This window comes from Homo sapiens, chromosome 18 (assembly GCF_000001405.40).
Source record: "Homo sapiens chromosome 18, GRCh38.p14 Primary Assembly".
NCBI lineage: Eukaryota > Metazoa > Chordata > Mammalia > Primates > Hominidae > Homo > Homo sapiens.
Genome location: NC_000018.10, coordinates 44,413,858 through 44,426,615, shown reverse-complemented (window position 1 = coordinate 44,426,615; position 12,758 = coordinate 44,413,858). Strand labels below are relative to the sequence as shown.

Genomic DNA, 12,758 nt, shown 5'->3' with positions numbered 1-12,758 from the left:
TATAATGAGATGCTACTACACACCTTTCAAGATGGTTGTTGGAACTGTAATTGTGGAAGTGTAAACTTTTCTGTTTGATATTTGCTCAGGTACATACCCAACAGAAAACTGTCGTATGTGTAAGAATAGGCAAGTAAAAGAATATTCATAGTAGTACAATGCTTCATAACCACAAATTGGAAATATCTCTAATATCTGTTGGGAATATAATAGATAAATATAACTGATATAATTTACAATTGACTCCTAAACAGCATTGAAAGTGAATAGATACATGCAATAAAGAATGAATCTCTTATCTACATAAAATTTTTAAAATGAGCAAAACTGATGTATGCAGATATAAGTCAAGACAGTGTTTAATTCTGGAGAGATGAGAGGAGTTGTGACTGGTAGAGGCCAAGAAGCTCTGCATGTTGATAGATGTTAAATTTCTTAATCTGGGTGGTATTTTCACTTTATGATAATTTATTAAGCTGTTCATATATAAATCCTGCACTTGTCTCTTTACATGTTATACTTCTACTGAAAAAAGTTAAATAAAACAAAGCAATTTTTTAAAAGGTTATTTGTTCCTGGCTTAGTTGGTCCAGTATTGGATCAACTAATCAATCACCATGACTTAGTATATCATCAGCAGCAACATTATTAAAATATTGGTAATCTGGACAGAATCAATGCTTAATCTGAAAAATAAAAAAATTACAAATCTGATTTTCTGTCCTTGAGTAGTATAGTTAGGGACAAAATCATAATGTGATTTTAAAAATTTCCACTTAATTCTTATTATTTTCAAGTTTCTACTGTTGGATAGGAGTTGACATAATATAACCCAGTACTACATCTGTGATTAAATTTCTTATTGCTCTTTCCCATTTTTAAAAACTGATACATAAGAGGTGTACACATATTTTGATACATTTATGCGATATTTAATGATCAAGTCAAGATAATTGGGATAGCCACCTAAAACATTTATCTTTATGCTGGGAACATTCAAACTTTTCTAGCTATTGAAATGTACAATAGATCATTGTTTACTATAGTCACCCTACTGACCTATCGAATACTACATCTTATTCCTTCTAACTGTATTATTGTATCCATTAATCAACCTCTTTATCCACCACTACTCTATACTCTTCCCAGCCTCTTACAATTACAAATATACTTTCTATCTTCATGAGATCCACTTTTTTTTTAGCTTGTACGCAGAAGTGAGAACATGTGATACCTGTCATTCTGTGCCTGGCTTATTTCATGTAACACAATGACCTCCAATTCTATCTTTGCTGTTGCAACTAACAGAATTCCATTCATTTTTAAGGCTAAGTATATTCCATTGTCTATATATACCACATTTAAGAAAACATTTATCTGTTCATAGAACTTAGGTTGATCCTATATGTTAGCTATTGTAAATAGTGCTGCAATAAGCATATGAGTGCAAATATATCTCTTTGATATATTGATTTCCCTTCTTTTGGGTATATATCCAGTAGTGGGATTGATGGATCATGGTCATTCTATTTTTAGCTTTGCTCACACCTTTCCATCAATTCTGGCCTCACTGCTATTTCTCAACTGTTTCTGGTTTTACTTTCTGTCTGAAATGCACTTCACTCATATATCAGAATGCCTGGTTCTTTCATTTATTGCAGATTTCTGCTCCAATATCATCTCAGAGCAATGTTTTTGGCTACCCCATTCTGAAGTAGCATTCTTCTGGTTTCTGTCCTTTAAGCTCACTTCATTTGTGATCGTAACAGTTACTACAACATGACATTTTATTATGTATTCATGTGCTCTGTCTATAATTTGGCTTCTAATGTAAACTCCGGGGGGCAGGAACTTTTTTTCTACTTATTGTTACATCTTCAGCACCCAGAACAATTTCCAGCACATACTTAGTGCTCAATAATTGTTAAATGGATGAATGCATGAATAGTTTGTGTTAATGGCCAATACAAACCATATAGACAAATTATTTAGTTGATTGGTGATCATATATTTGAATTAACATCACCAGACTCTGGACAACTTGGTGGTTAACTCACTTTTGGTTTATTTGGGAAATTTTAAACCCCCAAACCTGGGCTTAACCATCTTCCTCCTTTATCCTGTTGTGCATATTCTACTGAGTTGCACAGTCCCTGGCGGGGAAACATTAAACAAACAGAACCCAGGGTTGCTATGCTGTTAAAGCCAGAAGTACATCATTCATTATGTGAATAAAATACATAGAGAATCAAATAGCCACAGAGTAATGGGAGTTTTATTCTCTCTCTATTCCATTTCACTCCCTCTCTATTTTACTTACGTTATGAAATGATGCTCCCGCCGCTGGCTGATAAATGTTGATTAATCTGATGGAGAGTTGGATTTGTTAGCAGGCAAAAGCAATGTAAATAAATCGAGCAGGTGAACTGGAGTTCACAGTGTCATTTCTGAGATTAAAGAGCCTGTCTAGCCCTTCAAGCTCACTTATTACAATCAGGATGCATGTTCTTCTTGTAAACAGACCTAGTAAGCCCCTTTAAGCAGCTCAGCAGGCCTCCTTTTGTTTTTCCTACTGACTGTCCCTTCAGCAAGTTTCATCTCCTGTGAATTGCCTATGATGTTAATTTTTGTTTCTTTTCCAGGGACTGGGAGTTGGAGAGGGGAGACTGGAGAGAGTAGGAAGGTCAGTTTTTCTTTTTGGAAACCATTGCCGTCAGCCAGTCAATAATTACACAGAACTTACAATATGCAAGGCTCTGAACGAAATGCTTGCAGATTTATAACAATAAAGACAATGATGAAAGCAGCAATACTCATTAACACCTATATAGATTTACTGTTTATAAAGCACTTTAGGTAGTATTATATTGGTTGATGCTCAAGGTAATCCTAGGCGTAGGGATTGTTTTATCCAGGTCACCCAGATGTCAGCTGTGTCACCCTTCCTTGTAAATACATTTATGTACTTTTTTTAAAAAAAAATTACTTTAAGTTCTGGGATACATGTGCAGAACGTGCAGTTTGTTACATAGGTACACATGTGCCATGGTGGTTTGCTGACATTTATACACTTTTGTAATGGATTGATCTCCCTGTTTTCAGTTCTGCAGGACTCCCAATGTCTTCCTCAAATTTTGTTGTTAGTTCCCAGGCAGCTTGTGGTCTTGTCATTTTTGGCTCTGGTATTGACTCTGCTAAAAAATTATCCTCCCCTGCACCTTCCTACCCCCCACAGTTCCATAGCTCTGTTCTGTGATTGTTTCCTTTTCTTCTGTTCCACATTGGCTTAGACACTGAACTGAGATCTGTTTCTGAATTTGTCCTCCAGGTAATAAAACACAGCTCTTGAACACAGCTCTGGAGTGTATTCGTGCCATACCTTAGAAGGCTTGGCTGCTACTTCCCTTGAAGGCTCCTAGCGTAGCTTCTAAATACAGCTATGTTAATCCCAAGGCAAGAGATCCTGTCACCATATTAAAAAGAGGACTACCTGACTGCCACACTTTCTGCTTACAAAGCCACTTTTGTTGCTTTACATTATTATGTAGACAGGTTTTAGTCCTAACTGTTGTTTGGTCTCTGATGTTCACAATTTGCCTCAGGTGAACTCGTATTAAAAATGATGGCTGTAATGTAATTGCTGTATACTGATAACTATAGCATGATGCAGCAGAAGTTTTAAAAGAAATTTTCCTGTTCCTAAGGTCGGATAACATTCTCAACCAGTGTACCCCCACTTTTTTTCTCCTAAACAGCTTTAGAGTACAGCAACTGAAATTGGTTGGTTAAGAGGGTGCTTCTGATGTCTTATCCTTCTGACAAAATTTGACTCTACTGGCTACCAGCCATGTGACCCAGGTCTCCAGTGTACAGTTGCTCAGTCTCTGTCCTGAGACTCCCAAGGAAACAATCCTAGAACAGAGCTCTGGGAATGTGGGAGGTGGGAAGGGGCAGGGGAGGATGTGTTTTCAGCAGAGTCCATACCAGAGCCAGAAATGACAAAGACTCCTGAGCCACAAGTGCACATGAGAATAGAAATACAGATTGAACCCTAGTCATTGATACATCAGCCTTGAGGTAAGACTAGTTTAGCAAAGAGGAAGGTCCACCTTTTAGAAGTTGAGAGACACTCTTCTGAATTTGAGCAATGGCACTATAACTACTAATAGTTGTCCTAAGGGTGGCCTTTGAAAAGTCACTTATTCGTTCTGTGCCTCAGTTTTTTTCTTTGCTTTTCTTTTTTTATTATACTTTAAGTTCTGGGATACATGTGCAGAACATGCAGGTTTGTTACATAGGTATACACGTGCCATGGGGGTTTGCTGCACCCATCAACGTGTCATCTACATTAGGTATTTCTCCTAATGCTATCCCTTCCCTAGCCTCCCACCCTGCAACAGGCCCTGGTGTGTTATGTTCCCCTCCCTGTGTCCATGTGTTCTCATTGTTCAACTCCCACTTATGAGTGAGAACATGCAGTGTTTGATTTTCTGTTCTCGTGTTAGTTTGCTGAGAATGATGGTTTCCAGCTTCATCTGTGTCCCTGCAGAGGACAAGAACTCATCCTTTTTTATGGCTGCGTAGTATTCCATGGTGTATATGTGCCAGATTTTCTTTATCCAGTCTACCATTGATGGGTATTTGGATTGGTTCCAAGTCTTTGCTATTGTGAACAGTGCTGCAATAAACATACATGTGCATGTGTCTTTATAGCAGAATGATTTATAATCCTTTGGCTATATACCCAGTAATGGGATTGCTGGGTCAAATGGTATTTCTGGTGCTAGATCATTGAGGAATTGCCACACGGTCTTCCACAATGGTTGAACTAATTTACACTTCCACCAACAGTGTAAAAGTGTTCCTGTTTCTCCACATCCTCTCCAGCATCTGTTGTTTCCTGACTTTTTAATGATCACCATCCTAACTGGTATGAGATGGTATGTCATGGTGGTGTTGATTTTCATTTCTCTAAAGACCAGTGATGAGGAGCTTTTTTTCATGTTTGTTGGCTGCATAAATGTCTTCTTTTGAGAAGTGTCTGTAAATATACTTTGCCCACTTTTTGATGGTTTTTTTTTTCTTTTTAATTTGTTTAAAGTCTTTATAGATTCTGGATATTAGCCCTATGTCAGATGGATAGATTGCAAAAATTTTCTCCCATTCTGTAGGTTGCCTGTACACTCTGATGATAGTTTTTTTTTTTTTTTTTTTTTGCTGTGCAGAAGCTTTTTAGTTTAATTAGATCCCATTTGTCCATTTTGGCTTTTGTTGCCATTGCTTTTGATGTTTTAGTCATGAAGTATTTTCCATGCCTACGTCCTGAATGGTATTGTCTAGGTTTTCTTCTAAGGTTTTCATGGTTTTAGGTCTTACATTTAAGTCTTTCATCCATTTGAGTTAATTTTTGTATAAGGTGTAAGGAAGGGGCCCAGTTTCAGTTTCCTGTACATGGCTAGCCAGTTTTCCCAACACCATTTATTAAATAAGGAATCTTTTCCCCATTGCTTGCTTTTGTCAGGTTTGTCAAAGATCAGATGATTTTAGATGGTGGTATTATTTCTGAGGCTTCTGTTCTGTTTCACTGATCTATATATCTGTTTTGGTACCAGTACCATGCTGTTTTGGCTACTGTAGCCTTGTAGTATAGTTTGAAGTCAGGTAGTGCGAAGCCTCCATCTTTGTTCCTTTTGCTTAGGATTGTCTTAGCTATGTGGGCTGTGTTTTGGTTCCATATGAAATTTAAAGTAGTTTTTTTTTTTTTAATTCTGTGAAGAAAGTCAATGGTAGCTTGATGGGGATAGCATTGAATCTATAAATTACTTTGGGCAATATGGCCATTTTCATGATACTGATCTTTCTATCTATGAGTATGGAATGTTTTTCCCTTTGTTTGTGTCCTCTCTGATTTCCTTGAGCAGTGATGTGTAGTTCTCCTTGAAGAGGTCCCTCACTTCCCTTGTACGTTGTATTCCTAGGTATGTTATTCTCTTTGTAGCAATTATGAATGGGAGTTCACTCATGATTTGGCTTTCTGTTTGCCTATTATTTGTGTATAGGAATGCTTGTGATTTTTGCATATTGATTTTGTATCCTGAGACTTTGCAGAATTTGCTGATCAGCTTAAGGAGATTTTGGGCTGAGACTATGGGGTTTTCTATATATACAATCATGTCATCTGCAATCAGATACAATTTGACTTCCTCTCTTCCTATTTGAATACACTGTATTTCTTTCTCTTGCCTGATTGCCCTTGCCAGAACTTCCAATACTACGTTGAATAGGAGTGGTGAGAGAGGGCATCCTTGTCTTGTGCTGGTTTTCAAAGGGAATGCTTCCAGCTTTTGCCCATTCAGTATGATATTGGCTCTGGGTTTGTCATAAATAGCTCTTATTATTTTGAGATACATTCCATCAATACCTAGTTTATTGAGAGTTTCTAGCATGAAGGCTGTTGAATTTTATCAAAGGCCTTTTCTGCATCTATTGAGATAATTATGTGGTTTTTGTCATTGGTTCTGTTTATGCAATGGATTACATTTATTGACTTATGTATGTTGAACCAGCCTTGAGTGCCAGGGATGAAGCCTCTGTGATTGTGGTGGATAAGATTTTAGATGTGCTGCTGGATTTGGTTAACCAGTATTTTATTGAGGATTTTCACATCAATGTTCATCAGAGATATTGGCCTGAAATTTTCTTTCTTTGTTGTGTCTCTTCCAGGTTTTGGTATCAAGATGATGCTGGCCTCATAAATTGAGGTAGGGAAGAGTCCCTCTTTTTCAATTATTTGGAGTTGTTTCAGAAGGAATGATACCAGCTCCTCTTTGTACCTCTGGTAGAATTCAGCTGTGAATCCCTCTGGTCCTGGGCTTTTTTTGGTTGGTAGCCTATTAATTACTGCCTCAATTTCAGAACTTGTTATTGGTCTATTCAGGGATTCAACTTCTTCCTGGTTTAGTCTTGGGAGTGTGTGTGTGTCTAGGAATTTATCCATTTCTTCTAGATTTTCTAGTTTATTTGTGTAAAGGTGTTTATAGTATTCTCTGATGGTGGTTTTTGTTTTTGTGGGATCAGTGGTGATATCCCCTTTATCATTTTTTATTCCGTCTATTTGATTCTTCTCTTTTCTTCTATATTAGTCTGGCTAGCCATTTATCTGTTCTGTTGATCTTTTCAAAAAACCAGCTTCTGGATTCATTGATTTTTTTGAAAGGTTTTTCATGTTTTCATCTCCTTCAGTTCTGCTCTGATCTTAGTTCTTTCTTGTCTTCTAATAGCTTTTGAATTTGTTTGCTCTTGCTTCTCTAGTTCTTTTAATTGTGATTTTAGGGTGTTGATTGTAGATCTTTCCTGCTTTCTCCTATGGGGATTTTAGTGCTATAAATTTCCCTCTAAACACTGCTTTAGCTGTGTCCCAGAGATTCTGGTACGTTGGTCTTTGTTCTCATTGGTTTCAAAAAACTTCTGATTTCTGCCTTAATTTTGTTATTTGCCTGGTAGTCATTCAGGAGCAGATTGTTCAGTTTCTATGTAGCTATGCGGTTTTGAATGAGTTTCTTAATCCTGAGTTCTAATTTCATTGCACTGTGGTCTGAGAGACTGTTATGATTTCTGTTCTTTTGCGTTCGCTGAGGAGTGTTTTACTTCCAATTATGTGGTCAATTTTAGAATAAGTGCGATGTGGTGCTGAGAAAAATGTATATTCTGTTGACTGGGGTGGAGAGTTCTGTAGATATCTATTAGGTCCACTTGGTCCAGAGCTGAGTTCGAGTTCTGAATATCCTTGTTAATTTTCTGTCTCATTGAGCTGTCTATTATTGACAGTGGGGTGTTAAAGTCTCCCACTATTATTGTGTGGGAGCCTAAGTCTCTTTGTAGGTTTCTAAGAACTTGCTTTATGAATCCTGGTGCTCCTGTATTGGGTGCATATAAATGTAGGATAGTTAGCTCTTTTTGTTGCATTGATCCCTTTACCATTATATAATGCCCTTCATTGTCTTTTTTATATTTTGTAGTTTAAAGCCTGTTTTATCAGAGACTAGGATTGAAACCCCTGCTTTTTTTTTTCCTTTCCATTTGCTTGGTAAATATTCCTCCATCCCTTTATTTTGAGCATATGTGTGTCTCTGCACGTGAGATGGGTCTCCTGAATACAGCACACCAATGGGTCTTGACTCTTTATCCAATTTGCCAGTCTGTGTATTTTAATTGGGGCATTTAGCCCATTTACATTTAAGGTTAATATTGTTATGTGTGAATTTGATCCTGTCATTATGATGCTAGCTGGTTATTTTGGCTGTTAGTTGATGCAGTTTCTTCATAGTGTCAATGGTTTTTACAATTTTGTATGTTTTTCCAGTGGCTGGTGCCAGTTTTTCCTTTCCATGTTTCATGCTTCCTTCTGGAGTTCTTGTAAGGCAGGCCTAACAGTGACAAAGTGTCTCAGTATTTGCTTGTCTTTACGGGATTTTATTTTCCTTTGCTTACGAAAGTTAGTTTGTTGGATATGATATTCTGGGATGAAAATCCTTTTCTTTAAGAATATTGAATATTGGCCCCCACTCTCTTCTGGCTTGTAGGGTTTCTGCAGACAGATCCACTTTTAGTCTGATGGGCTTCCCTTTGTGGGTAACCCAACCTTTCTCTCTGGCTGCCCTTAACATTTTTTCCTTCATTTATCCTTGGTGAATCTGACAATTATGTATCTTGGGGTTGCTCTTCTTGAGGAGTATCTTTGTGGTGTTCTTGTATTTCCTGAATTTGAATGTTGGCCTGTCTTGCTATGTTGGGGAAGTTGTCCTGGTAATATACTGAAGAGTGTCTTCCAACTTGGTTCCATTCTGCACTTGTCTTTCAGGTAAACCAATTAAACGATGATTCGGTCTTTTCACATAGTCCCATATTTCTTGGAGGCTTGCTTTGTTGCTTTTCATTCTTTTTTCTCTAATTTTGTCTTCACACTTTATTTCATTAAGTTGGTGTTCAATCTCTGATATCCTTTCTTCCGCTTGACTGATTTGCCTGTATATACTTGTGTATGCTTCACAAAGTTCTTGTGCAGTGTTTGTAAGCTCCATTAGCTATTTTATGTTCTTCTCTAAACTGGTTATTCTAGTTAGCAATTCCTCCAACTTTTTTCAAGGTTCTTAGCTTCCTTGCGTTGGGTTAGAACATGCTCCTTTAGCTTGGAGGAGTTTGTTATTACCCATCTTCTGAAGGCTACTTCTGTCAGTTCGACAAACTCATTCTCTGTCCAGTTTTGTTCCCTTGCTGGCGAGGAGTTGTGATCCTTTGGAGGAAAAGAGGCGTTCTGGTTTTTGGAATTTTCTGCATTTTTGCAATGGTTTTTGTTCATCTTCATGGATTTATCCACCATTGGTCTTTGATGTTGGTGACCTTCGGATGGGGTTTTTGTGTGGACATCCTTTTTGTTGATATTGATGCTATTCCTTTCCATTTGTTAGTTTTCCTTCTAACAGTCAGGCCCCTCTGCTGCAGTTCTACTGGAGTTTGCTGGTGGTCCAGTCCAGATCCTGTTTTCCAGGGTATTACCAGCAGAGGCTGTAGAACAGCAAAGATTTCTGCCTGTTTCTTCCTCTGGAAGCTTTGTCCCAGAGGGGCACCAGCCAGATGCCAGCCAGAGCTCTCCTGTATGTGGTGTCTGCCAACCCCTGCTGGAAGGTGTCTCCCAGTCAGGAGGCACGGGGGTCAGGGACCCATTTGAGGAGGCAGTCTGTCCTTTAGCAGAGCTTGAGTGCTGTTCTGGGAGATCTGCTGCTCTCTTTAGAGCCAGCAGGCAAGAATGTTAAATCTTCTGAAGCTGCACCCACAGCTGCCAATTCCTCCAGGTGCTTTGTCCCAGGGAGATGGGAGTTTTATCAATAAGCTCCTGACTGGGGCTCCTGCCTTTATTTCAGAGTTGCCCTGCCCAGAGAGGAGGAATCTAGAGGGGCAGTCTGGCTACAGCAGCTTTGCCATACTGCAGTGGGCTCTGTCCAGTTTGAACTTCCTGGTGGCTCTGTTTACACTGTGGGGGAAAACTGCCTACTCAAGCCCCAGTAATGGTGGACGCCTCTCCTCCCACTAAATTTGAGCCTCCCAGGTCAACTTAGACTGCTGTGCTGGCAGCAAGAATTTCAAGCCAGTGGATCTTTGCTTGCTGGGCTCCACGGGGGTGGCATCCGCTGAGCTAGACCATTTGGCTCCCTGGCTTCAGCTCCCTTTCCAGGGGAGTGAAGGGTTCCATCTCGCTGGCATTCTAGGTGCCACTGGGATATGGAAAAAAAACTCCTGCAGCTAGCTCAATGTCTTCCTAAACAGCTGCCCAGTTTTATGCTTGAAACCCGTGGCCCTGGTGGTGTAGGCACCCAAGGGAATCTCCTGGTCTGTGGGTTGCAAAGACCATGGGAAAAGCATAGTATCTGGGCCAGAATGCACCCTTCCTCCTAGCACAGTCCCTCACGGCTTCCCTTGGCTAGAGGAAGGAGTTCCCCAAACCCTTGCCCTTCCCAGGTGAGGTGACACCCCACCCTGCTTCAGCTAGCCCTCCATGGGCTGCACCCACTGTCTAACCAGTCCCAATGACATGAGCTGGGTACCTCAGTTGGAAATGCAGAAATCACCTGCCTTCTGTGTTGATCTCACTGGAGCTGCAGACCAGAGCTTTTTCTATTCAACCATCTTGCCAGACACCTCTTTTCTTTTCTTTTTTTTCTTACCTACCTGGAATCGATGTGATTTATTTTTCCAAAGAAGCCATGTTTAATTACATATTGTATTCTGAAGTAAGAAACTTGTACAAAATAAATTATAGGCATGCCAACAGGTGAAAAAATAAAGCTGTAGATATATACCCCAGGATCCTGGATATAATAAAATTATCCTTCAAGCCAAATAAGAAATATCCTTAAATACTGTAATTGTAGATACCTAAGAGACTGAAGCATATATAGCACATAATACTATTCTATGTTTTTTACCTACAATTAATATGCTGGCTATAACAACAGTAAATTGCTCATTAACAAGAATCACACTTATATCCTAATAATTTAGAAATATTTATTTGGGTAATTTGAAATGCTTAGATCTTTTTTTTTTGGATATGGTATTTTTTTTTAATTTTTATTGTACTTTAAGTTTCAGGTTACAGGTGCAGATTGTGCAGGTTTGTTACATAGGTATATGTGTGCTATGGTGATTTGCTGCACCTGTTGACCCATTCTCTAAGAACTGCCCCCCAGTTCCCAACAGGCCCTATTATGTGTTGTTCCCCTCCCTGTGTCCATATTTTCTCATTGTTCAACTCCCACTTATGAATGAGAACATGAGGTGTTTGATTTTCTGTTCCTGTGTTAGTTTGCTGAGGATGATGGCTTCCAGCTTCATCCATGTCCCTGCAAAGGACAGGATCTCATTTCTTTTTATGGCTGAGTAGTATTCCATAGTGTGAATATGTGCCATGTCTTTATCCAGTCTATCACTGATGGGAATTTGGGTTGGTTCCCTGACTTTGTTATTGTAAATAGCATGGAAATAAACATATGTGTGCATGTATTATTATAGTAGAATGATCTATATTCCTTTGGGTATATACCAGTAATGGGATTGCTGGGTCAAATGGTAGATCCTTGAGGAATCATCATACTGTCTTCCACATGGTTGAACTTACTTACATTCTCACCAACAGTGTTAAAGTGTTCCTATTTCTCCACAGCCTCGCCAACATATATTGTTTCTTGATTTTTTAATGATCACCATTCTGACTGATGTGAGACAGTATCTCATGATGGTTTTGATTTGCATTTCTCTAATGAACAGTAATGTTGGGCTCTTTTTCATATGTTTGTTGGCTGTGTAAATATCTTCTTTTGAGAATTGTTTTTTCATATATTTTGCCCACTTTTGATGGGTTTGTTTTTCTTGTAAATTAGCTTAAGTTCCTGGTAAATTCTGGATATTAGACGTTTGTCAGATAAGTAGATTATGAAAATGTTCTCTCATTCTGTAGGTTGCCTGTTCACTCTGAAAATAGTTTCTTTTGCTGTGCAGAATCTCTATAGTTTAATTAGATCCCATTTGTCAATTTTGGTTTTGTTGCTATTGCTTTTGGCGTTTTTGTCATGGAGTCTTTGCCCATGCTTATGTCTTGAATGTTATTGCCTAGGTTTTCTCCTAGGGTTTTTATGGTTTTGGGTTTTACATTTAAGTCTTTAATCCATTTTGAGTTAATGTTTGTATAAGGTGTAAGGAAGGGATCTAGTTTCAGCTTTCTGCATATGGCTAGCCAGTTTTCCCAGCACTATTTACTGAATAGGAAATTTTTTCTCCATTGCTTGTTTTTGTAAGGTTTGTCAAAGATCAGATGGTTGTAGATGTGTGGTGATATTTCTGAGGTCTCTGTTCTGTTTCATTGGTCTCTATGTCTGTTTTGGTAAAAGTACCGAGCTGTTTTGGTTACTGTAGGCTTGTAGCATAGTTTGAAGTCAGGCAGTGTGATGCCTCCAACTTTGTTCTTTTTGCTTAGAATTGTCTTGGCTATACAGGATTTTCTTTGATTCCATATGAAATTTAAAGTAGTTTTTTTCTAATTCTGTGATGAATGTCAAGGGTAGTTTGATGGAAATAGCATTGAATCTATGAATTACTTTGGGCAATATGGCCATTTTCATGATACTCATTCTTCCTATCCATGAGCATGAAATATTTTTCCATTTGTTTGTGTCCTCTCTTATTTCCTTCAGCAGTGGTTTGTA

General features: G+C 38.5%; 1 long non-coding RNA gene across 1 annotated transcript in view, besides 1 other annotated feature; it reads left to right on the top strand.

Moving 5' to 3' along the window:
* The window catches only part of LINC01478 (long intergenic non-protein coding RNA 1478), a 208,263-nt gene that overhangs the window by 105,082 nt on the left and 90,423 nt on the right, over nt 1-12,758 (top strand). The window lies entirely within an intron of this gene.
* Nucleotides 2,242-2,831: an enhancer, noted in NCBI's record as "OCT4-NANOG hESC enhancer chr18:42003750-42004339 (GRCh37/hg19 assembly coordinates)". NCBI's record gives its function as "activates a minimal SCP1, AML or CMV promoter by ChIP-STARR-seq in primed H9 embryonic stem cells {active_cell/tissue: H9 hESC(primed)}" and the evidence as "EXISTENCE:reporter gene assay evidence [ECO:0000049][PMID:30033119]".